We start from the raw sequence: 27,129 nt of genomic DNA, 5'->3' as shown, positions 1-27,129 counted from the left end.
GTAAAAATCAGCCTAGAAGCTGAAACTATTTCGTGTATTTAGGAGAATTTTCTGAACAAATGGAAGTTGCTTTTCCCACAGAAGTCATTGTGCTGGAAGCAAAATGTCACTGGAAAATGGAAGGCTAGAGTTATATTATAAAATTGGGTGCTCAGAACAACGTGATGGATGGTACATACTCTCATCAGGGTGACTGGAGCCCTACCCAATTCACTGTGCAATTTCATAAAATACTCCTACTCATGACAAAAAAAAAAAGTTAGAGATGGAAAGAATTACATGTCCCAGTTGTTTCAGTTCCCAGGGAGGAACTGTGGCCAGAGGGAAAGGGACTTGTCCAAAGTCAACAGTAAATTAATGTCCAGCCCAGACAAGAACTGAGAATTCCAAGTCTCTTATTACCATGACAACTTTCCCTAAAATCAAATCAGAGTTACACCAATAGTCTACAAGATACACTATAATGGTACAGGATAATTTTCTCTTATTTTATTTTACTAGGGACCAGAACTTACCAATTCCATTATGATACTGATAACATTTAAGACTAAAAATCAAATTAAAAATAAATTAAATAACAGTACATAAATTGGGCAAAACTTATTATATGACATGCAAGTGATTTTGGTTTGGAGAATACAGCACTCTGTCATCACATCTTAAACACTACCTGGGAGAAAATGGAAAGTATCAGAAGGACTTCTTAAACTGTGTCAGTTCTGAGCAAGGCCTAACTTTACTCTTAACTTCCAAACAGCTTCTTCTCAGGGTAAGTCATGACCATGGGCTGCAATTTGAATTCAAATGGTTGGAGAAAAGATGGTGCCTTTGGGTAAAAAGTGCACACATTCAGGAAGCAGAGCACAGCTGAGATCAGGTCACCCTTTGTGTAATTTGCTGAGTCTCTATTTGAGCTATATTCATAGTTTTCTTTTCTCTCCTTATGTTAGAATGACATCTGTGACTCTCGACCCTTCTCCTTATGGACAGAAATCCCTCTAAATAATATTTATAATTAATAATACCAGCGAATATGAATAACATATATTTAGAACCTACTATATGCCAGAAACTTTTCAAAAAACTTGATATGTATTAACTATTTCATCTTTATAGCTACCCTGTGAGGAAAATACTATGATCATCTCCAGTTTGTAAATGAAGGGACTAAGGCAGTGATCTTACCAACCTAGGACCCCTTTAGGGCACCTTGGCAATTCAAGTTCAAAGTCTTCATATGGAGAAAGACAGTGGACAAACCCCTCCAAAGACATGGCGGGGTAGGATGGAGAAAGTAGATAGAGACTCTGAGGAGGAAAATTGAGGGGCTCACCCCAAATCACAGCCACAATGGGAAGAACTTGACAACACACTTCCCTTTCAGTTCTTCTACCCAAAATCCTGATTTTGTTTTCATTTAACATTATGGGATTAAGAAGCAACAAACGAGAAGAAAGAGTATTGAGCAAGAAATAAAATGAACAATTTAAAAAAAAAACAAGAAAGGGGAGAGAAATGTGGAGATAAGCAGAGTAATAAAGAGGGAAGAGCACTCAACTCAGGTCTACTCTGGGTTCCACCAAGGACTCATTCTGTGAGTCTCTTTCTGTCTTGGAAATGCATTCTTCTCATCTGTAAAATGAATGAGTACACTGTACTAGAGGACTTCTAAGACCTCCCTCAACTTCATCATCCTAGGATTCAGAAACAAATGAAGGAAAAGGAATAAGGTAGAGAAACCAGAAGGGAAAAAGAATGTAGGAGGGAAGAAGCAAAGGTTAAGGAGGAATGATGACAGGAGGAAGAAACAAGAGGATAGAGAAAGGAAGATATTTTCCAAAGCAGTTGGAATCTGCTTATCTTGTTGAAAGAAAAGGAAGGATCCTCACATCAAGAATTCCAACAATAAAAGCTTTCTCTTCATGCAACTAACTCCATGTTTCCTGCTGGTGGGACCCATGGCTGATGTTGGTAGGAGCCTAGACTGATGTCTACAGAACAGGGGCCTGAATGGATACCTGGGAGGAGACAGGATGCTGCCTTGTTCTCAAAGCCCAGGAAGGAAGGCTGCTGAGAGAGCCCTCAGAAGGGCGGCCCTTCCTCCTCTTCCTCACCTCTTCCTCCTTTTCCTCATCCACATCTTCCTCCTCCAGGCCAGATTATGGACAACAATTATTAGCATATTCCCAGGCTATGGGGAAAGTCCTGGGGAAATGACTAGAGAATGTGCCCAAGGGAGCCACAACTGCAACATTACAGCATTGTGCCTGCTAGAAAGAATCCTGGGCATCATCAAAAGGAGAAAATCCCAGGCAAGAAAGAGACCTTCCAAGGTCATCTTCTCCATCTCTTGCCTCTGAGCATCCCTTCCCTAATTGCCCAGGGGCTGCAATCCAAACCAAAAGATTTAGCACAGAATAATACTCAGTCCTATCAGCTAATCTTTTCACAACTGTCTGGGCCATCCCAGGCCTTGAGACTTTTGTAGACAAAGACAGTGCCTCCGATTGATTGAACTCTAATGCATATGGCACAGTGCTGGGCATATAGTGGGCTCCTCAAACCCATCTGATATTTGATCCATAGGGTGACATGATTTATTAGCTGTGTGGTTCTAATCTTTCTCCCAATAATGTCTATTCTATTGCTTAACATTTCAGTTTGAATATTCTTCCTTTTGTTTATTCCACTGCCCCTGTTTTAAAGTCCAACCTGTCATTTGCCTAAGGGGACAGAAATTAGCATGTACCTGCCACTGCAGAAGTGAAGTAAAATACTCACCTAGGAGGTGACCTCTCCAAGTCTAAAATTTTTCCCAGTGAAGAAGTGAGTAGACAGTGTCGCCAAATAAATGAGAGCCACAGATACAAATAGAAAGATTATAGATAATTTTTCGCTTAATATATAAAGAGCAACTTCTGTATACCAGCTTCTTGGCTAAACAATTTATCTGTATTTTTTTTTGTAAGTCTTCTAAAATTAGGCCATATTCTTAGTTTATAGATGAAGAAACAGGCTCAGAGAAGTTAAGCAACTTTCCAGAACACCCAAGTAAGTAATAAAGTCACAGTTCCAGCCCACTCCTCAGCTGTCATCCTTACAGCATGCTACTGAGCAGAGAAGTTCAGCCTCTCCTTGAATACTTCCAGTGACAAGAAACTCATCATCTACTCAGGCAGCTTCTTCCATTGTTGGATGGCTCTAATGGTCTAAATATTCTTTCCTCACATGTATCAGGCAGCCATCTTGCTCTTTAAAAGTCCGACAGGTCTTCCCTAGTCACTTGGAACAAGTCAGTGGGCTGTAGAAGGTACTCAAACTATAAAATTAGAAAGACCTGGCTCCATTCCTACCATTCCACCTATTAACCACGTTAACTCTCAACCAAGTCACTTCTGCCTCTGTGCCTGTTACTTCATCTGTACAATAGATACACAAATACATACCTCATGTAGTGTTTTGGAGAAGAAAAAATAAATAATATTTGCAAAGCTCGATGTCTGGAAAATAAAAATACTCAAAAAAATTATTTTATTAAGTTGGGTCCCTCTTCCCCCAACAGCCCAATGGACCGATCCCTTCTGCCTAAGACTTCTCTGAGCCAAACACCCACAGAGTCTTTAATTATTCCTTACAGGTCAATTTCAAGTTTGTTTACCAGCCCAATTGTTCCCTTTTGGACCTGCTCCAGCCTGTTAATGTCCCTCTTAAAATGCAGGACCTACAACTAAATATAATAAATTAGCCAAGATGTGAAGTACAGCCCACATCCGGTATTTCCTGCATTCCTGACTCTTTCAGTCTTCGGATTTTTCTAAGTTCTTAAGAATTATTAGGTTAAACTTAGGCTGGCATAAGATTTTAGTGCAGATTATTTGAACCTTATTTTTATTTGTAATAATTGCTAACATACTCAGTAGTTTCTCTGTGCCTGGCACTGCAGTTCTCACTTGATATGTATTTTCTTACTTAGCCAAACAATTATAGAAAGTATCCCTATTATTACCCTTATTTTACTGATAAGGAAACAAATTGAAAGTGTTAAGTGACTTGCCTAAGATCACACAGCTAATAAATCAGAACCCGCTAATAAACGGCAGAATCAGATTTGAGTCCACCATGTTATCCCACCCCCCATTTCGAGCATTTAGGGAATGCTTGCAAAATGTAAGTACTTTCAGGGATTTAAAAAAATGAATATGACACAGGCAGAAGACATATGCAGGGCAATTTAACAGAAAAGGAAATGCAAAGCACGAAGCAATGTTGGGCTTCTGAACAATCTGTCACTAAGAGCTCGCTTTCTCCCCTCCAGCACGTTCCAATGTCTACAATTTCATGGGCAATGTGAGTCAGTGGAGGAAAAGGGAAAAGGTGGAAGCAGTCACCTCTCTCCTTTTCAACTTTTACTTACTCACCGTTGACTTCAGCCCTTGCCCCTAGCACACTGCCTTATGAAGAATTAATTTTCAATGACAGCCAAGTTGCTGGTCCTGGGGGGTTGGAAGGGGCTCCTTTACTCTGCTATGGCCTTTCTGCCTCAGAAATATTTCTAGCTTTGACTCAGCAATTTTGCTTCTAGGACATGAACAGAGGTTTGTGACCAAGGGGGTTTTTCCAGCATAATTTATAATAGCTAAAAATTGAAAATAATATAAATGCCTATCAATTGTGGGAGAGCAAAATAAATACTAATTTTAAATGACTGCATATGCCAGCCACACACTGGCATATGCAGTCATTTAAAATTGTGTTTCTAAAGATTTAATAGCAATAGAAAATGCTCATTTAGAATCTTCAGTCAAAAATAAAGAGGAAACAACACTCATTATGATCTGTAGAGGAAAAAAACCTGGAAGAAATTTAGCAATATGTTAACAGTAGATATCTAGATAATGGGTTTTCTAGGTGGGTTTTCATTTTTTTCCTTGAACCTCATTGTATTTTCCCAATGTGCATTTTTTGCTTTAATCATCAGAGGAAAATGTTATTTTTTTAAGAGTTGAAAGAATCTGGTCTGAGGGCAACCAGCCAGCTTGTGAAAAAATAGTTTTTGCCACTGGACAGTTTCCATATGTGCAGCAGCAATTACTGCTCTGTTACCATCAGATCATCTTAATCCTATTGACTGAAATGCCAAAGTAATACTATTAATTTACTACATAACAGATAAATTACTAAGAGCATAGTAGAACTACCTGAGATTGCTGTGGTACTCTTCTAGGGTCAGAGTGGGTGGCCCTTCTAGATTCCAATATAAAGCACAAAAAGCTTCTGGAAGTTCATATATTCATCCCCCATCACAAAGCCTAGATCTGCCAACTCTCTTTGAATCAATAAAAATTGTATTGAACATTTACACTGTGCCACACACCAAAGTGAGCACTGTAAAAGAATGCTTATTCCTTACAACAAGCTTACGACCAACAACTACTATCACCCTCATTTTACAGATGCAGAAACAAAGATTTAGACAGAATAAGTAACTTGTCCAAGGCTGCACAGCTAGCAAAAGCCAGAGCCTGATTTGAGGCCAGAGTCCATGTGCTTAGCCCTGGAGCATGCCCTTTTTCAGCCAAAAAACAAGTTCTTATGCTTTCTTCCACATTATTTTAAATAGTAATTTAAAAGTTAGAGCAGGAGCTATCTACACGCTATGGATGAGGAAGCTGGTGGTTACGTGTAGTAAAGGACTTGCCCAAGATCATACAAGGAAGAATTGCAACAGATAGAAATCAAACCCAGAATCTCTGACTCCACATCCACAGCTTGTCGCATTTCCAAGGTTGCTTCTCTTTGCCTCTGAGACACGCAACAAGCAGCAGAAAGCAGTGGGACTCAGGATCCCGTTTGGTCCCCCTGTGTGTTAGAAAGGGGTGACCTGCTGGAGGATCTTGAAGGTACAGGGTAAAAAGGACAGAAATCCCAAGAAGAGAAGAAAACCTCAGCAACGACCCTAGAGCTCCTTTATCCTGAAAGGGTAAAGGGGCATTGGCCACAGAGCCTTGTTGTTTCTTCATCATCCATCACTCTTCCTTCCATCTCGTTAAGTCCCACAAGGTGTCAATGATACTTTTCCTGAATTCTCCTAAGTAAATATTCCTTCTAGAAGCTTATACTAAACCACAGAAGAGTAGAAACTTAAAACCATGCATATTTGAATTGAGTGAGCTGTTTTAGCAGATTTGAACAGCTGCTCCAAAACTTGCGCCAAAATTTCACCTCGATTAGATTTATGTATCAGCTCTGCCACTAAGTCACCTTGATTAAGTCAGTCAATCTCCCCAAGTCTCAGTTTTCTCATCTGAAAAATAGAAAAGAAAATGCTTGATGTTTCATAAAGTTGTTGGGAAGATTAGAAAGCCTGTATGGAACAGTTCTTAACTGTGGATGGCACCTAGAAAGCATTTGGTCATTGGTAGTAGCCTTTGCTATTCTCAGTTAATCTCTGAGTCAGTTTTCTTATCTATAAAATGGAGATGATAGTCTTGCAGGGGTATAATATACATTTATTAATTTATAGCAGGTGATCAATGAATGTCTTTTTTAATGCACAGGATGACTAGGTCTCGTAATTCTACGACTCTACTACTCACTTCTTGCCCAAGACTTTGGAACCTGCTGAGTGAAACAAAGAAGTTCCACCCCACTGAGCATAGCTGCAGCTCTGACTCTGTCTTAGAGGATTCAAGGGAATCAACAAAGGCTATTTAGAGAGCATTATTAGAGCCCTGGAGAGTCCCTAAAACTCTGTATTTACATGCAAATACCCACTTCAGCTAAACCCTATCAACTCACAGTTAAGTGCTCACTTTCTGAAGACCAGTCACTCCATTTATTAAAGGCAGCTTCAGGTTTTAATCCAAATTGCCCTTTCTACAATTTAAAATCATTTCTTCCTCAGTGCCTACTGAGGATTGTTTATTTTCTGAACATCCTCCTTTGAATCATAGTCTTTGGATACTTGAAGACCACACACATCCCAGCTCCACTCCTATGAAAACTCTGTTTTCTCTGGAATAAATACTATAGTTTTGCTGATGCATTTCCTATGGGTCCATTGCAGCTTGGCTTTTTTTTCCACTCTGAGATTGCACTAGTATAGACTTGGAAGGGAAAAGTGATATGTTTTTTCTAATGGCTTTGGACATTAAAGCACTTATTTGTTCTCACATAAGTTTTCCTCTACTAGTTTGAGAGCCCCTGGAAAGCAATGGCTATTGCACATTCATCATTAATATAGTTAAGAGAGAAGTTTGTAAGGTCAGGTGAACCTGGATAAATTATTTAATCTCTATGGACCTCACTTTTCTCATCAGAAAAACAGAGGTAATTACACCCCAACTCAAAGGGTTATTTTGAGGATTAAGTATTGTAAATAAAGCTTTTGGTGTAATGCCTGGTACAGTACTTCATAACCACTCAATAAGGGCTGGCTGTTATTATTTTATTTGTAACCTCCTCTAACACCTACTATAATCTCTGACAATATAATAGGCACTTCCTAATTATTTTAAGTAAATAAGTAAATGAAATAATAAACTAATGCTATCTAAAATGAGATTATCAGCATCTAAAAGTACCTAATGAATAAAGTTGACTAACCTGAGAAATGAAAGTTTATTTCCATAGCATCTGTAAAATTACTGTGATCCTTTGCCATTCTAAAGGCAGATAGTATTTTCAAGATGAGCTAACTGAGAAAAGGGTAAAACAAAAGGCAAGTTGACTACAGAGGAAGTGTGACAGAAATGATGTAATAAACAGTCAAGAAGGTATTGTCCGTACCGTGATTGGTTCTGGGGAATGGCCAAAGAGTCAAGCAGAAGATAACCCAGATCAGACCTGGAGCGCTCCAGTTATGTTATGGTTCTACCATCTGAGACTGAGCAGGCCTCCTACCTTTCAATCGAGCCTCAGTGTCATCACCTGGACATGGAGATGTTGTCACAGCGCTGGTATGAGGATCAAATGTAGTGATGGATTTAGAAGTGCCATAAAAACTGAAAGTGTTACATGTGTGCAAACGATTATCAATTACATTGTTCCCAACCTATATTTTCCAATTCCCGGAGCTCCAAAATTCTCAGTTATAATTCCAGAGTTATGGGGAAACATTTATATCACGAACCAGAGAGGCTTCTCAGAGGGACTCTGCAAATCACTATCACTTGGAAGAGTCAATAAATTATAGTGATTAATACCATGGGCTTCAGAGACCAGTTGTCTCATGGGGCTACCACTTACAAACTGCATAACCTCAGGTAAATTTTCTGAAAATGAAAGTGTCAGCTTCCTCATCTATAAAATGGGGATAATGATGTCATCTTCATGGTATTGAGAAGATTAAATCCAGTGAAATATGTAAAGTATCATGAATGATAGCCATTACTGTCATTAGCTAATATCATGTCTTCATCTGTTTTTATCCTACTGCTATGTCTCCTCAATATCTATACTCCCAGGCCTTTGCAAACTCAAATGACCAATGCCTGCTGATTAATGCAATCTTTTTCCCCAAAACTTTCTGTCCAAAAGCCTGGGCTCCATTCTCTGCAAAGACACATTTCTCCAGTGAGATTTATCTGATTAAAAAGAAAGCTGCATTGAAGGTAATGAGAGCCATTTGCTCTTCTGTCCAACTCGTGGGATGCATGCTGATTATGTAGGGCCTTCTAAGAGCTTTCCCTCAGTCAGAGTAAACCCCATAGGCTTGTTCTTCAACACTCAAGCCTCTGAAGAATCCCCCTGGATTCTTCACACTGTAACTCATCTGAGGGCCACTTGATGCCCCCATGCTTAAGCCAAGCATTCTTTCACCGTAGGACCAGACTGCAGAATAACACTGAAGGTCAGAGGCATGGGAAAATTTTCCCAAGTGAGACATATACACACAGTTAGGGCAAAGTGAGATGGTTGTGGTAGCATTATAAATAAGGACATAAGGAAGCAGGAATGTGGGGTTTATGCGCAAACATAGGTTTGACCTAGGCCAGTGGTCCAAGACATTTCGTGTGAATACCACTGAAAGAAATGACTTTTTCTCTTATTTTTCTGCCTTGTATTTTCCCTGAAGACATTAAATATTTTCCCCAGGGGCTGACTAAGAGTATCAGAGCCAGAGTTTAGGACTCTTTGGACTCCAGTCAAATCATATCACTGATGCCAAATAATGCTGCACAGCTAAATTAAGCTTCCTCTGGAATTTCGGGTATATATCATCCATTTAACAAATATTTACTGAGCTCTGACTATGTGCCAGGCTCTGTACTTCATGAAAACCATGTTTATTAAGAGGCTGAAAAGACGTTTGTGAAAATCATGTTTTCAGGGTTTTGTCTATATAACACCTTGATGGCCCCAATTCTGAGAAAAAGGAAGGTTACAGAGCTGAAAGTTTGGCTTGAAACAGAAAAGACCAGGACTGTCATGACTTCAGCCTTCACACATGCACCTGGAGTAAGGAGAAGGAAGATGAGAAAAAGAAAACGTCAATATAATGTAAGCAAATACAGTGTGGAATGCCAGAATTGGACAGATCAAGTCACAAGCCACAAAATTGATTAAGCCTCAGTTTTCTCACCTGTAAAATGGAGACAGGCATCCCTACCTCTCAGGCTATTTGGGGGATAAAATGAGATAAAATATGTAATGTGCAATTCAGAGTCCACATTAGGAACAGCAGGTGCTCAATTAATGTCATTTCTTGCCACCAAACAAGAAAAACAAAAAAGCTTTTTAAAAATAAAGCAGGATGCTGTAAGAGGTAAAGACCCCCTCATCGGGCAAATAGATTTGATCATCTACAGGAAATCCCACCCTGTAGACCAAGCTCCGGGATTTAGGATGTTGTAGCAGGGCCAGGACTAGAGTGAAGCAGGTGAGGCACAAAATTTAATGAGGTGCTCACTCTCTGGTCCCTGCAAGTGCAGGGTTGGCATTTATGCAACCCTGGGATTGAGTGCCTCCTTAAATTTTACTAGGTACCTCATTCTTCTTTCTCTAGGTGGCCCTACTTTGTGGGGATACATACGATAAGGCAGGAGAGTTAGTGGATGGAAGGCTATCCAGAGGAAAACATGGAAACTGATGCTACAGAGTATATGGGATCCCTAGAGGACCAGACTTCCTTAGGGTCAGAGGCAGAACCAGATGAGATTTTAAGGTTTAGTCCAGCTCCAAGAATCCAGGATTTTACCTTGCTACAAGAAGAAAATCATGTTCAAATACATGTGCTTCTTATTCAGATAAGCGTTCCCTATAGGAAGCAGTCATAACTGTGGGAGGTAGGACAGGAAGGGGGAGGGGTGTCTTGTTCCATAAGACCCTGAGGTGAATTGGGCTCAGGGCATGCCAACTGTGACATTCTGTTCCCAGGGGTGCTTAGCAGATCATGAAGTGACAGTGACAGTAATAAAATGTCAAGCACTCCCTGGCCAGCCTAAGCCCCTTACTGCAATCAAATAAAATCAGAATTGCACAGCTGGCTGCGGGAAGCCAGATGCTGACCTGATGATCCAACTCAGACAAAGCTGAGGGTGACCAGCAGGGCCCAGGCTGCACAACAATCCCCAAGTCCCTTGGGGTCAGAGCCGGGGATGGGAAACTGGCTCAGCCTAGAAAGCCAAGAGTGCCAGCCCAGCTCAGCCCCACCTCTTCCCAGAAGCCCAGGACACCCACCACTCCTCACCATCCACCATTTCTTTTTCATTTAGAAAAAGACCAGCCCACAGGCAATGGGGCAGGAGAAAGCTTTCTCCCCTGAATACACAATTTGAAAATGGCAAATATTGGGTCTTTCTAAAAGCACACAGAGGCTACAATTAATAAAACTCAGACAATTTCTGATTAATCCCCGCCTTCCCCTCAAATACTGCCTTCCACCACTGAGCCACCATAGCAGTCCAATTTTGCCACCTAAGCAGAGTGGCAGCCTCTTATAATTTCTTAAGTACCTAAACTATTCTATCTACTGGACAGTAAATAATTAGAGGGCAAAGGCCAGTCAAATCGAATTTTTAATTACTACTACATGCCAGGCACTGAACAAGACAGAGCCTACCCACAAGTATTTCATCCTCATTTCTCATCATTTCCCATTCTCTTCTCTCCCTCCCTCCTTCATACACACACTAAACTCTTCTTTTGGTTCTCCAAGTTGTCTATCACTTCTAAACTACACATGCTGTTCCTTCTACCTCAAACACTCTTCCTCCTATATTTTTCCAGGCCAACTCCATATCTAACCTTCAAGTTTTATTTAAAAAGTCATTTTCTCCACAAAGCCTCTTGGAGACTTCTCATCCTCTCACCAAGTGTAGTTGGGTACCTGTCCACTGTACTCGCTGAATTCCTCAATTATAGTGCTGACTGTGCCTCAAACTCCTTCGTTTTTACAGTGTCCTCTTCCTCTTTCACCTCCCACCTCCCTGTCTTCAATCTGCACCTCCAAGTTCCTCCTCCAGCTGTATAGGTCCTTCCTTTGGTTACTCTCAGCCTCTTAGTCCCTCTTCTGCCCCCTCCTTGTCTTTCCTCCCCCTTTTCCATCCTGACCTCCTGGACTTCTCTGCTCATGGTAAACTGGAGAGGGAATTGACTGGAGGGATCCCCTCTGCTGACCCAGAGTGGTTCTTGGGGGTGTGGTGCCATGCAAAATGTAGTTGAAATTGTTTCTCCCCAGTCTTACTGCAACCCTAGCTCATCTGTAATTCAGATTGACAGCTTTATATTGATTCCCTATTTCAATTGATGTTGCAACTGGAGAATGAGAATCTGAACATTGATCTGGCCTTTCTCCCAAGTAAACCTTGAGAAACAGGTTGGCCCCTTGGAGAAAAAAATCTTGAGACTAGGTGAGGAAGAACCAAGACACAAAATCCCATTCCTCCAAAAAAGTCCAGACAAATCTGGATCCCGAGACCAGTGTATGAAAAAAAAAAAAGAAGGAATATTATAGACTCATAAAATGATGGCTGAGGGCTGGAAGGGCTCTTAGAGATCATCTTAATTTCATTGTGTAACTGGGGAAACTGAAAGCCAACAAGGGAAGTGACTCACTGAAGGTCACACAGCCCCTACTTCATTATATCACCCTGCCTCCAACCCCTCTGTTGAACTCTACTCCTGGAGCTTTGCATGGTCTCTGTCATTAGAAGTAACATCTGAGGTCCTTTAAGTACCAAAATCTCTTAGTGTGACAAATCCCCTGACCAAAAGGTGGTGGACAGTCTAGTGCATGCTCTAATCCCCACATACATCCATAAACATCCATCTATTTGTATACATAACATACATAATACATCATACCTAGAAACCTACTCACATCACACAAACTCACCTACATCCATAGACACTCACAAAGAAACTAAAATATATTTGTTCCTCATCCTGTCCACCAAAACTAGCTCTTCAGGATGTAAGGATCTTCAGATTATTATGCAAGAGTGTCTAAATAGTCCTAGAATACCCTATGAATCTTCAAAGCAATGCCAGATTGCTTTCAGTATTTTTCATTTCTGTGTATAATAGTCTAATACTTTGTATAGTCAGTGCATCTATTGCAATAAGCCTTCTCAGTAAGGAATAGAAAACTTGGTCTCAGAAGACCTCACTCTCTTTCTGAAAATTACCATTAATCAAATCTGCCTAAACTGAGTCTGATTCACCCATTGTATTTTAGTAATCTCTGAAAAAAAAAAACTGCATCATTTCCAAATACTGTTATAAGGTTCAGAAAATTTTAACAATTGAGTGTTTCATTTCTCAGATTCATTCCCAGCTCCTCTGTCCAGCAGCTCATGGTCTATAAGCAAATGCTTAAGTTAACCGGGAATTGTGGTACTAAAAGAGCTCCCCGATGCATATCTACTCTACACAGATGCACAGCACATCAGATTCACCAGGGTGGAGAGGGGGAGTTTTGAATAATCCTGTGCAAATTGTACTGTCTAAATATAGACAGAAATGTACAAGGATTATCAAGTGGAGGGAGGCATAGCTACTTTGGCATTAATATGGAGCCTTTGTATTTGGAAAAGAGTTGGGAACTTTTGGCCTAGAGCACAGTGAGGGAGGGGGAGGATTTTAAGTGACTGACATAATAACAATAAATCATTATTGAACCAATTCTCTTCCAATCTTTCTTATTAACTCCAGGAGTCTCGTTAGGTGTTAATATGCCTCTAACGCCTGTCCAACACTTGCTGCACTTCCTTTGTAACTTAGAGCAGGCCTTGGGCTCAGAACATTGGCAAGCAGCAGATCACTAGAATTGTAAACTCTTCTCTTTTTGTCTTGTTGTCATTGTATTTGCTATTATGGTTCTCTTCCATTATGGCAAGTAATATTAGTTTTCTATTTGTGAGTAGTGAAATATAGTTTCCTTTTAAATAAGTTTAAGTTTAAAAGAAGTGAGACAATTTAATGAAAATAATTAAGTGACTAATAGAGGTGGTGAACAAACGGCAAAAATTGTGAAAGTGATATCAGGAAACAGCTGGTAAATAACATATGGGAGAGGCTGGACTAGAGATTTTCAAAATATGCATAGTGAATCACTTGACAAAACAGAGGATTACCGGGTAGTTCACAACTATTTCTTCTTCATTTTTAAGTGTGGTAAATTCAGAGCAGTGTATATACAGATTGCTAGAATTCAGACATGTTTTGACTTGCTTGGATAGAAGAGGGTAGAACAAGCTTCAGAAATAAATCATAATAATAGCATAACTATCATGATTTTATACTCTTCACAATTCACAAAGACTTTCCCTTACGTTGTAGCATTTGGATGAGTCAACACTTGAAAATGTAAGTTCTAATTCCTTCTCTCTTTAAAGTGCTGTGTGACTTGGAGCCAGTTACTTGACCCCCTGGGGTCTTCATTCCCTCCACTTCGGCTCAGTGCCAAGGTTTTAAGTGAGCCAGTGGCTGGGTGACCAGACTGCAAATACCTTACTGCAGACATGCAAGTTAGAATAACCAGAAGACTCTTCAGCTTTGGGGAGGGTTCTGGTATTAAATGGCATGTTATGCTAATACCAAATGGTATGGGATGATGTGGGGAGAATTCATTCTCCCACTGTACTGCCCAATAGGATTCAGGCTTATGAGAGAGGCCTAAGGGCGAAGAGATCGCTTGTGCTCCAGCAACTGCTGGGAGGGAGTACTATGTTCCCAAATCTTATTATCAGAGAGGAGGGGCTGGAGAGAGTACGGGAGCTTATGAAAGCTTCGTAACTGCCACTCCTAGAGAGGTTCTAGAAGTGAACTATAACAGCAGAAAAGTCATAAATCACTAGTTGCGTGCCTGTGGTCCCCTCTGCCCACACCAGAGCCACACAGCAGCCATGAGTCCAGTGCTGAATGGACAGTGGCCCCAACTGTGGGCCATGGGAAGCACCTGGGAGGGTTTTCCAGCCATGTGGGCTCCATGGTGCAGCTGAAAGCATTGTGAGACAAGGAGCAGCCCCAGACCCACTCTGAACTGCTTCAAACACACACACACACACACACACACACACACACACAGACACACACACACCATGCTGCAAGAGAAAAACAATGTATTGAGTGCTTGCTATGTTCTAAGAACAGTCCTAGGTATTTTTAACTATGCTACCTCAGTTATTCCTTACCTCATTTGACAGGTAAGAAAACTAAAGCTCAGACAAGTTAAGTAACTTTCCCAAGGTGACACAGCTAATAAATGACTAAGACAGGATGAATTCCAAATCATCTGTTCTTTTCACTCTTTTGCACTATTCTATATTATATTTCACAGTACATTTCAAAAACAAACACATGCAATATACACATCACAGACATACATCTACAGAAGCATTTTACACATCCACACCCTATACCCCATGTATATATACAGCTCACATACACACACATCTCACATATACACACACAAAATGCCCATATTAAATGCCACACTTGAAATACATACACATGAACACAGAAATTCACATTTTGTACATACAAACCTATGTGACCCAATTCACTATGCATCTGCAAACACCTCCATGCACACTCTAATCCCCATATATATCCATACACATCCATCCATCTGTATACATAACACATCTATACAATCATACCTAGAAACCCACCCACATCACACAAACTCACCTACATCATAGACACACACAAAGAAACTAAAGTGCATTTGTTCCTCACCCTGTCCATCAAAATTAGTTCCCCAGGATATGAGTAAGGATCTTCAGATTATTAAGCAACAGTGTCTAAATAGTCCTAGAATACCCTCCGAATCTTCAAAGCAATACCAGATGGCTTTCAGTATTTTCCATTACTGTGTATAATTGTCTAATTATTTTTAAATTGTTAATCCATGTATAAATATTTATGAACACTTTTTACTAGCCAGGATATTTGATTAATTAAAGTAGCACATTATTCATTCATTCATTCACTGTGCAATTACTGAGCACCAATTATGTATGAGACACCATGGTAGACACAGTGGGGAATGAAAGAACAAACAAACAAATAATAAATAAAACCACCATGATTCCTGCTCTTAAAACACAAACACAGATAACTACATCAGCACCTGGTGAGTGAGTTTATGGGGGGTAGTGGGGTGGAGGAGCAAGAAGACAAGATGGCTCTGAGGCGTCTAATCCTAGAGAGTGGAAGTATATTGACGTCATCTGGGGAAACTGATCTGGAGGAGCAAGTCTAGGAAGGAAGCTGTAGTGTTCAGTTTGGGAGATGAATTTGAGACACTGGCAGAACATTGAGATAAATGCATCCCACAAATGTTTGCAAATGAGGAAGGGGGTTTTAAGGAAGAGGCCAGGGTGGTGACAGATTTGAGAGTCATCCATTATTAACTGATTGCTTAAATAGTTACAACTGATGAGACCAGAAAAGAAGCTGAGAGGAAGAACAAGACAGGTTGGGTACAAATCCTTGGGGAACATTATGCGCTGCATGACTAGGTGACAGAAGGTTCCACCTTACACACACACACACACGCACACACACATACATTCATATCTCTATGCATTTCCTCCAACATCCCAGCCCCACAAGCACATGTCAGTGCTGCTTATGGCTCCTAACTATCTCCTGGATATAATTTCAGTACTAGGAAAGCTCAGTTGCCCAAAGCAACCCAAAATTAGTGTTCTTCAACCTTTGAGCCTCTAACATTGACTCTTATTGAAATCTATATGCTTTAAGAGTTTGGTGTGGCAATTCCTCAAAGATCTAGAACCAGAAATACCATTTGACCCAGCAATCCCATTACTGAATATATACCCAAAGGATTATAAATCATTCTACTATAAAGATACATGCACATGTATGTTTATTGCAGCACTGTTTACAATAGCAAAGACTTGGAACCAACACAAATGTCCATCAATGATAGACTGGATAAAGAAAATGTGGCACATATACACCATGGAATACTATGCAGCCATAAAAAAGAATGAGTTCATGTCCTTTGCAGGGACATGGATGAAGCTGGAAGCCATCATTCTCAGCAAAGTAACACAGGAACAGAAAACCAAACACTGCATGTTCTCACTCATAAGTGGGAGTTGAACAATAAGAACATGTGGACACAGGGAGGGGAACATCACACAACAGGGCCTGTCGGGTAGTGGGGGGCAAGGCGAGGGAGAGCATTAGGACAAATATCTAATGCAAGAGGGGCTTAAAACCTAGATGACAAGTTGATAGGTGCAGCAAACCACCATGGCACATGTATACCTATGTAACAAACCTGCACATTCTGCACATGTATCCCAGAACTAAAATGAAAGAAAGAAAGAAAGAAAGAAAGAAAGAAAGAAAGAAAGAAAGAAAGAAAGAAAGAAAGAAAGAAAGAAAGAAAGTTGGGCAGAGGGAGGGTCATGTTCTTAATACATGAGTAATTCATACTGTGGTGTGAATGGGGCCTTAAAGCCACTTTGTTGAATGGGTGTGGGGTGGGAGAGGGGTGACAGAAACAGTGTAATGCATCCCTGTTTGACTTCTAATCACCTAACTCTCGATACAGTGAAATAAGCCACTACTGATTTACTCTGGGTCCTATGTCAGTCCCTTCTGCTAACTGGGCCTCAATTTCCCAAGTGAGATTTTGTGAAGTATATGTTTCTTGAGACAGTGATCCCATAAGTACAAGCATATAAGCTTGTCAAAGCTTCTGAGGAGACTTGAGGTAAAAATGCCTGATAAAATTTGTGTTCCAGAATGCATCTGACTTTAGCAACTTTTTAAAAAACTGTGACTCTGATTCTGAAAATAAACCTTGAGGAAATGGCAAATTATTTTATCTCTAACATCCTTTCTGTCCGTGTGGCTCCATGGACCTGTGAGAGTGCAGTTGCCCAACACAAGGTTAGGTCTACCAAAAGACTAACCCTCCAATCTTCTCTCCCAGGGACACCCAGCTGCCAAGTGTGATTACTCAAAATCCCAGAGATGAAGCCTTAAAAATGTCCGTGACTTCTCAGCATCAATCAGACACTTGGCTGCCTGCCAGGATCCCATGCCGGCTGATATTTGGGCTGGGTAAACAATTTAACCTGGGCCTTACCTCATTAAGGACCCATATTACCCATATTACTCCAGCTAAGAACACTCTTGTGGTTCTACAGAGGTTGGACAAGGCTGGGATCTGATCACAGCATGAGAAAGAGCCATCATTAACCTTTTGCTCTCCTCTCTTCCTCCTTAGCCTTGCTGCTTCTAAGGAGGCTGAAGCTGCTCGCTCCGCACCCAAGCCTATGTCACCCTCGGATTTCCTGGATAAGCTAATGGGGAGAACCTCCGGATATGATGCCAGGATCAGGCCCAATTTTAAAGGTAGAGAAAATATTCCTTCCAGACCCACAGGGAAATGCTTTCCCAGATTAAAGCAGCAAGCAGCATGGTAATGCACGCAGATGGTAAATACGCAGTGTGAATCCCATGACTCTTTCCTCTACCCAAGGCAGACATTCTTAATCAATTCAGTCTTCTCTCCCACCAAGCCCAGACAAAGCCTCAGAGGATGCAATTTAACAGCACCTCTGGTTTCCAGGAGTCCAAAAGTGAATTAAAAACTATTTGCTACTTCTTGTATGATGGGAAGAAGGATAAACATGGAACGTGGAGAAATGGGTTCAAGTTTGGGCTCAGGCACAAACTTACTCTCTGAGCTTAGATGATGAGTCTCTCCCTTTCTTTGGGCCTCTGTTTCTTCATCTGTATAGTAATGGGCTTGGCAACTTTGGCAGCTTTTAAACATACGCTTCACGGAGCTTTCAGGCTTCCAGCAGGTGCCCCCAAAGGAGAAGCAGAGGGCATGATGAGCAAGCCCACCCTGCTCCTCCCCAAACAGCTCCACTTTTATTTTCAATAATGGGCTCCCAACTAAAATTCTTCAGCTGAAAGTTTCCCACGGGCTAACAAATAATTTTGAAAAATTTTGGTCTAAATCAGAGTCATAATTTCAAATGCCTACCAGGGTTGGGTAGATAACTTAAATCAGTGAGGCAAACCAAGAGTAAGACAGTAGGGAGTGGTAGAGACTATGAAGAAATAGAGGTACAGGCTCCTCTACAGGGGCAGCCTCTTCTTAGCCCCAGCCTGTAGTTGCCCTGCAGAAATGTAGGCCCCATGTTTCCAGAGCATCAAGTATTCCAAGAAGAGCCAGATACCGAGATCTATGTGAGACTTCCTAATTCCTAAAACATGTAAATTCAAATAAAACATGTTTGTGACCCACATATGCCCTGTGGGTTGCCAATTTACAAACTCTACTCCAGATGACCTGAAAAGGTTCTTTTACCTCTCATAACCCTATGGGAACTTAGTGTCTATAACCAAGAGACTAGTTCCCTTTGTTTACTGACGCCTCAGGAGGTTGCAGCCATCTCAAACTGCCGAGCAGAGCCCTGCAGGTGCAGTCTTAAGGACCTCCTTCGGAGCCTATGCACTCTGACCTTCCTCCCAGCATCCTTGCAAAAATCTTATTCCAAGGACCTGCAGCCAGCCTCCTAGACAAGCCTTGATTTCAGGTGCCCTTCCTCACTGTTCCTTTGGCTCAAGTTCAAGACTAAACAAGGCATGTGACAGCTGGTAACAGCTTCCTAATATTTGCTCACTTTGCCCCCTGCTCTCAAGTCCCCTTCTCAGAGTGCTTGCTCCGCACAGCTCTGCAAATAGAAAATGTTCTGAGAGATGCACCCAGGTCTCTGTTTGGGCCCACTCTCCCCATTTACCTTGAGGCTCCTTCACTCCCCCTGCACCTTGTTCCTGAGGCCATAGCTTCCAGCATTGTTAACATAACCCCCAGGATAGGTAAGTCAATAACAAGGTTGCTGTCCCAGCACACTCAGCTCAAGCCTTCACCAGGGTCACAACCTCTAATACCTAGAGGGGCAAGACAACTATAGTATATGAATGAAGCAGGGTGGAGATAAGAAAATAAAACCAGAGAACATAGGGCTTATCTAAGGGCAGCCACTTCTCAGCTCTTGTTGATGGCTGTTAGGCAGGAATGCAGACCCTGTTCAGCCAGGCCATCCAAGACAAGACTTAAGTCTGAGGTTTTATCTGAAATCTTGCAAATTGACAACTAAATCACCTCTTTTAAAAACACTGTTGGCCAAATCAAACACTTCCAGGAACTGGTTAGGGCCCTTGGCAACCAGGTTGCATCCTCTGTCCCTCTCTGCTTTTAGGAATTCCAGTCCACCACGCCCCTTGGTGGGCTCTCTCAGAACTCCATCCTGAGTGGAGGGGCCATGGTCTTGCTCTGAGAAACGAGGAACTCATTCGTTTGTTGAATGTGGGTGCATCCAGGGTTTATGTGTTAGTTATTCTTTGTGCATACCACTGTACTTGACACATAGAAAAGCCCCAGTAAACCTTCATAAATGAATGAATAAATAAATGACCCCACAAATATGCTAGGGCTTAGAGCAGTTAAGTGACTTTTTCAAGTCATGCTGTCAAAACCAGAGACTTTAACCCAGTTACTCTAACTTAATTCTTTGTCTAATAATAGTGATTTATTTATTTGTTCATTTATTTATTTACTTACTCAGCAGTGGGCATTTTTAAGAAATAAAATTTTATCCTGACCACTGAATCAAGGTCCGTCCAACCTTCCCACTCTGAGAAGCTTACTCGGAACACTTGGGCCCAATATCTACAGAACTAGTTCATCTTTTAGGCCCGTCCCAACCCTGCAACTAGCCTTAACTCCCTCGACCCCCACCTGACTGAGAATGAGGTGCAGCTTCCTGGAGCCCCACCGCAGGAGCTGAGAAGTTTTCTCTGCCCTCCTTTGTACTGAGGCCTGAAAAATTGCTGAGAGGATTTTCTTGCCCTGAGCCCTTTGATGCCTTTCCTGCTTCCACCGACACAAATCAGATTCCCTAAAACCCCATACAAACCATAGAGCTCCTGAAAAGGCCATTGAGGATCAGGGCCCCTATGACTCCAACATGATAGAAAGAGGTCTGCATTGTTTAAAACCTCTACGGAGGGATCCATCACTCAGCAGCTGCCTTAGGTGCTAGAAATTTTCCCTGCTCCTGACCCTCGTGAAAACACAGGTAGCCAGGAATGGCAAGCACAGTCTGCAGAGTACAATGGCAAAGAAACTGTGAGGTAGAAGTAAAGGGCACTAAAACAGCATTCCAGTCCTCCCTCTACTTACCTGACAGGCATGACCCCAAATGAGTCACTTACTGTATCTCAGCCTCTGTTTCTGCATCTGTAAAATGATCCAGCAGGACTAGGCCATTCCAGCTCTGTTATTCTGTGTCTTCTTTATGACTTTGTGTATTATAATGGCTCCTAGGATTAGGGGCACAGCCCAATGCAAATACATACAAAAAAGCAAAATTAAACTTTAACATTTAGTGAAATATATACATTATCCTGCTGCCAAAGGCAGCTAAATTGTAATTTTCTCAAAGATAATTTAATTTCAGATTTATTTCAATGAACCGCACCTTCCCATAGGATCCTTTTGGCCAGTGTCCTCTCGCACACATAAATCAGAAACTAATTTATATGGGAGTCACAGTGCCAGACACTTGCAGGGACTGGGTGGGAACTCTGTGCACATCATTTCAAGGCATAGGCAGTAACTCCTTGGGGTATCTTAATGGCATGAGGCAACAACAAAAAAAACCTGGTCTGAGTCTAAATAAAGGAGAAAAATCCTGACCATTCAAGTTTTTTCCACCTGAGCTTTATTTAGGTGGAAGTGACAAGGAGGCAGACTTCCACTCAACACAAGGACAAAAAAATTTAGCAGACAGAGCTATCCAACTATGGAAAGGGCTGCTTAAGACAAAATGAGTTTCCCACTGCTGGAAGTATTCAGGCACTCAGCCTTGAATGGGTAGCTGGTCTACAGCAGTGGTCCCCAAACCTGGCTGTGCATGAGACTCACCCAGGTAGCTCTCTGAACACTAGACTCTTGGGCTAACCTCCAGAGATTTGGTTTTACTTAGTGTGGGGTTGGGCCAAAGAATCTGTAGTTTAACAGGTTCCCAGATGATTCTTCTGCAGATAACCCTGTCTGCACTTCAGTTTGGGAAGAAATTGATGAGGTGACCTTTAAGAAACCTTCCAGCCCTAAAATCTTACAACCCTGAAATGTAAATGGATAGCTTCCATAAAGGAATTCCAAACCACTGAAGCTGAGAATGACCGCCTAGATCAAGAGCTACTTACTCTCTCTCCAGATTGATGAGGAAATTGAGGCCCAGGACAGAGAAAAGGCATGGCCGAGGTAAACAACCAGTGAGTGCTGGAGTTATGTCCAAAACCCAGAAATCCTGATAATCCCTTGAAGGAAAAACCTAGTTTCTCATCCCAAGACTGAGTCCCCTCCTATATGCCAAGACTTCTGATCCTAGCTTAGTTTGAGCAAAATGCTTGGGCTACTTTTTCAAGAGGGACAGAATGCAATGGGTGCCAGAGGGCATAAGGACATATCTACTTTCTTCTTTCCACAATCAGAAAACTTTGGTTCAAGTCCTGGTTCTACCACTTGTTAGTTGAATGAGCCTAGGTGAGTTACTAAAACTCTTGGTGCTACCTTTGTCAAGTAGGAACAAGAATTCTGCCCTGTCTACCTCAGTACCTCATAGGAATCAAGAAAGTGGACCTGAAAAGCAAATCACAAATTGCAAATTACAATCTTTATGTGAAGGGCTGTGACCATTTATCCAAGTCCTATTCACCTTCAAAGTCATCTCCAGGCCACCACCTTTCTGAGGTCTTTCGTGCCTTATTCTCCAGAACTTCTCTCACCTGGACTCCTGCTGCTTTTACCACTCTTACCCATGGTCTTGCATTTCTCTTTGGTTATTTTATGTCAGCCCTTTTTGTCAGCTTATTTGGAAACCCAGTGCTGAAAATTCTGGACTCTGCCACTGTCTGTGTGATCGTGAGCATGCCCCTTCCTTCCTCTAAACCTGTTTCCTACAGAATAGCCATTAAGATGAGCACCCTTGGAGTTAGACAAATCTGAACTCAAACTCTGACTCACCCATTTACTAGTTATGTAGGCATGAACAAATAGCTTCTCTGAGCCTCTGTTTTCTCTCCTGTAAAATGAAGGTAATAACCATACCTTCTCCTGGAGTTGTTGAAATGATGAAATGAAATGATGTTAATAATACTCTCAGCACAGCAGGAACCCCCGTAATGTTTAGTAAATGGCAACTGCTATAATTAATACTATAAAGTGAAGAGATTGGGCTTCAATGAGACAACATCTCCTCTAGGAATGAGACAGCAAACCAGTGAATAATCCTCCATTTCTTTCCTACGCTTTGCAGTAGGATTCAAAAGACTTGCTCAGAAAGTATTTAACAAAGTCTGTGGACTTCCCCTGAGGTTCCTTCTGGATTCCTCAGCTGGTAATTCCCATCAATGCCTTTCAGACAATCATTCTTGGTTCATAAGTTGAAGGCAAGGAGCTTGCTGTTCCTTGTAATTCCCAAGATGGCCTCCAAATGTTGTAGACATAAATATATTTCAGCCACTAATTTGTGGCTGAAAGGCAGCCAATGGGACTTGGGGAAGGAATTTCAACCATATGGCGGCTGATGAATCATCCTGTGTTAATGAAAGTACATCTCAGCTCAGCCTCTGGTATTCTGTACCTGGTGCTCACTTGGGGACCAGGAAGTCTGGCATAGAGATGTTAAATGGTGGCTGGGAATCCCAGGTGCTTGGGGGTGGGGTGGAGAGCAAGCAAGGATCTCCTCCACCAAAGGCGATCCATTCCAGAAGTCAGTGTTCTGGGAATGAGTCCTACCCTGTGGGTTCTTCCATGGCCTTGGGGCTAAGCAGGAATCTCTCTTGATTGGCAGGTCCCCCAGTGAACGTGAGCTGCAACATTTTCATCAACAGCTTTGGTTCCATTGCTGAGACAACCATGGTGAGTAAGTCAAAACACAAGCTGTTAGTTCCTGCTGGAGATATCTCTCCATGAAATATTTATCCTCTGCATTGGTCTCCACCAAGGAAGTGGGGAATCAGCTGGGTTTTTCTCAAGTCTCCAGTGGTATACCATGAGGCTCGGATGTCTTTACTGTCACATTAAATGTTTTGAGTGAATACATAATATCTGAAAATAGCCAAAGACCTAGCAGGGCAAGCACCTGCCAAACACCCAGGATTACAAAAACAAAATTATACAACAAGTCAAATTTTTAGAGTAAAAGAAAATGTGAAGACCTGTTTTTAAGTTTAACATTCAACTGCAGAATGGCAGAAGACTGCTGGTTATACAAGCTGAAATGGGTATATTGGGTTAATTGTATATTTCCTCTACTGTTGAATACATTTAAAACTTTTCACAGTAAAAAAGTTTAGAATGAATCTATTACACTAGAAGAAATGCCTAGGAAAAAAAATACCAAAATTGTAAGAATGATTATCTCTGAATTAAAAAGTTATGAATAATTTTTATTTTCTTCCTACAGTATTTATATATTTTTCAAATTTCTGCAAGGGGTGAATATTATATTAGTAATTATGAATAAGTGTAATGATATTTTAAAACTTTTCTCAGACTTTTTGTTTTTGTTTTTTCAACAGAAAAATCAATTGTACTTATGTTAAGGAAGTGATCTAGCTTGTGAAAAAAAATAATCAGGGCAGCCTAAAGTTAACTCTAATCTATCCATTTCGGAACATCCACCCGCCCCTAATCTAGTTCAGGCTTCCATCATGGCTGGCTTACATGACTGCAAAGGGTTCTCGTTGGCTTCCAACTTGCCCCCTTCCAGTCTACTTTATCCCACACTAGCCTTTCCAAAACACAAATCTAACCACGTCACTGCTCCTATTTAAACACTTCCTATGGCTCCCCATCACCCTCAGCATTAAACCCAAGTTCTTTTGCAAAGCTGAGGAGGCTCCCTGTGATTCACCCTGCTTCATTTCCTCCCTCTCCCACTGCATACTCTAGCTGCACCGATTGCTTACAGCTCTCCAGCCAGGTCGTCTCTCGCTCTCTGCTTTACAGGCTTCTGGTGGTGGCTGCTAGGCCACTGCCCAGAGCACCCACTCCAGCCTCCTTTCCCTTGCCAATTCCTATTCTCCTTTAAGACTCAGCTTAGAATTATTTCCATAGAAAGCCTCCCCACTGTAACATGCGCGTACGTGTGTGTGAGTTCACGTGTGCCCTTCACCCAAGGCTGGGATGGGTCCCTTCTGTCCATTCTCATAATACATTTTACAGTTTCCACAACAGCACTTGTCACTTACAATTACCACTGTACCAACCTGCTTATGTGTCCCTCCTGTCACTATACTGTAAGTTCCTTGGGGGCTGGTATCTTGTTTCATTTCCTGTGGGAACCCCAGCAGCTAGCACAGTGATTCAATAACAGATACTCAACAGTTTTTTAAATAAATAAACCAAATCAATTATATTGCTTATCAATTAAAACCAGTATTTGGTCCTAAGCATTTATGGAGATTACATCCAACCTTTCAGTCCCAGGCTGGCAGAAATCACTGAGTTCAGTAGGTGAGGTGGCCTGTCTTGATATGGTCACGAAGACTGTTCCCACATTCAAAGGACAACTGGTGAAACTCCCTAAAGTAACAGGCCTCTTATCTCCAAATGGAGATGGTCCCACTTGTTAGCTAGGAACAAACATGGGTGCTTTTCACTGGATATCCAGGTCAAATAAATAGCCAAGTTTTTTTCACCTTTGAATGGATGTCTTACAAGCACTCTTAATGAGCCCCTCTGCTTTTCTTCCCCTCCTCTGAGATCAGAAGCATATTGACATTTGTATTAATCATAATCTGTACAGTGAGTGTTGACACTTCCACTCTTTTTCCTCAATGGTAAATGGTTATCAAGCCAAGTCAGGGAGTGGACCACCTGGTTCTGTAAGGAACTGGTTATTTGAGGACAGGTGCACATATCAGCACTCGTTTCCTGATAATGACCAAACAGAGACTTAATTCCTTCATACAGATTCCTAAAAAAGAAAGATATAGCCTTACTTCCCATGGTGATTAAAAGCCCAGCTCTGGAGTCACATACACTGAGCTCACTCTGTCTACGAGGAGCTTATTTGCTTCACATCTTTAAGCCTCAGTTTCTTCATCTGTAAAATCCCAATGGTAATTAACATACTGATATCATTAAGTTATTATGTGAAGTGTGTAGAGAAAAAATGGGTTTTTTTGTTTTGTTTTGTTTTGTTTTGAGACAGAGTTTCACCCTGTTGCCCAGGCTGGAGTGCAGTGGCACGATCTCGGCTCACTGCAAACTCTGCCTCCTGGGTTCAAGCAATTCTTGTGCCTCAGCCTCCCGAGTAGCTGGGATTACAGACATGCACCACCAGGCCCAGCTAATTTTTGTATTTTTGATAGAGATGGGGTTTCGCCATGTCAGCCAGGCTGGTCTCGAACTCCTGGCCTCATGTGATCCACCCACCTCGGCCTCCCAAAGTGTTGGGATTACAGACGTGAGCCACTGCACCCAACCTAGAAAAATGTTTATCATTGTCCATGCTTTGTAAATGTTCACCAAGCATTTTTTATGATGGTGATGATGATGGAGACTCTTGACACTGCAGCCCCAACATTATCATTGATGATTTGCTGTGTAATCTTGAGCAATCCTTAGACTTCTTTGAGCCTTGGTTTATTCCTCCTCTCCTCTCCACTCCCACCTCCACAACCCTCACCCCCCATTTCCCACCCCACATCTTCTGACTACCTTTCCAGACTTCACTTCTGCTGCATTTTGCTTTCTACAGAAACGGTGTAGCAGAGTAATTAGACACAGTCTTCAAAGCCCAGACAACATCTGAGGCTCAGCTCTGTGATCTTGGCCAAGGTATTTAAGTTGGCTTTCTCATCTGTTAAAAATAGGGATGCCAGTAGCATCCACCTTGTGGCCTGCTGTGAGTATTAAGAGATAAAGCATGGAAAGTGCAAAGCACAGTGCCTGACACAAAGGGCAGTTGCAATGATGCCAACTATTGTTACATGCCATTTATCATTTTCAGCACATTTTCACATTCATGCTCTCACGTGATTCCTTCACCACGTGTGTAGTCTTACAACCACTCTGTAAAATAGGCATGCTATGTTCCCCAGTTTACAGCTGAAGAAACGGAGGTTTGTACAGATCATATCACAAAGCTACTTGGTGACTGTGCAAGGATTAAGATCCAGTTCTCATAACCTATAGATAAATGTTTGTTCTGTGCCACACTGCTATAACTCCAAAGAGCACAGACTAAAAAAATTGGAGGACCAGGACCTACAAAGTACACGTAAGCAACAGTCTAAGTGCATCAAAAGTGGAAATCCAACCCAATATCATGCCATGCCCAGCTCCCCTCAAGAGAAAATAGTAAGTAATGATAATGGAGATAACAAAGGACCCCAGAGGAGATGGTCTCCTGGAGTAGAAAGAAATAATCTTCCGACAGGAAATGAAGGATCAGTTATGATGTACTGCCTTGAGGGTAGACCACAAATGACATAGTTTTCTCCCTATTTATTAAAATTAATCCAAAGTAGGGCAGGAGGTGCTATTTCCAAGCAGGCATATTTCATAATATAGTATTTCTTATATATATCTCATAATATATCTTA

General features: G+C 41.5%; 1 protein-coding gene across 4 annotated transcripts in view, besides 1 other annotated feature; it reads left to right on the top strand.

Annotated features, from left to right (window-relative positions):
- Positions 1-27,129, top strand: part of GLRA1 (glycine receptor alpha 1) — a 102,339-nt gene that overhangs the window by 14,697 nt on the left and 60,513 nt on the right. For 2 of the 4 annotated variants that reach the window (NM_000171.4, NM_001146040.2), the window contains exons 2-3: positions 17,717-17,844; positions 23,367-23,434. In NM_000171.4, the coding sequence (NP_000162.2) occupies positions 17,717-17,844; positions 23,367-23,434 (196 nt within the window). Of the gene's footprint in view, positions 1-17,666; positions 17,845-23,366; positions 23,435-27,129 lie in introns of all 4 variants that reach the window. The other 2 variants (XM_047417105.1, NM_001292000.2) reach the window with 2 other exon arrangements.
- Positions 4,193-4,487: a silencer, noted in NCBI's record as "tiled region #1877; K562 Repressive non-DNase unmatched - State 24:Quies". NCBI's record gives its function as "represses a minimal TATA promoter and a strong SV40 promoter by Sharpr-MPRA in K562 cells {active_cell/tissue: K562}" and the evidence as "EXISTENCE:reporter gene assay evidence [ECO:0000049][PMID:27701403]".

Source organism: Homo sapiens, chromosome 5 (genome assembly GCF_000001405.40).
Source record: "Homo sapiens chromosome 5, GRCh38.p14 Primary Assembly".
In the NCBI taxonomy this organism is placed as follows: domain Eukaryota; kingdom Metazoa; phylum Chordata; class Mammalia; order Primates; family Hominidae; genus Homo; species Homo sapiens.
The sequence above is the reverse complement of the archived record's forward strand: the minus strand, read 5'-3'. Positions and strand labels throughout refer to the sequence as shown.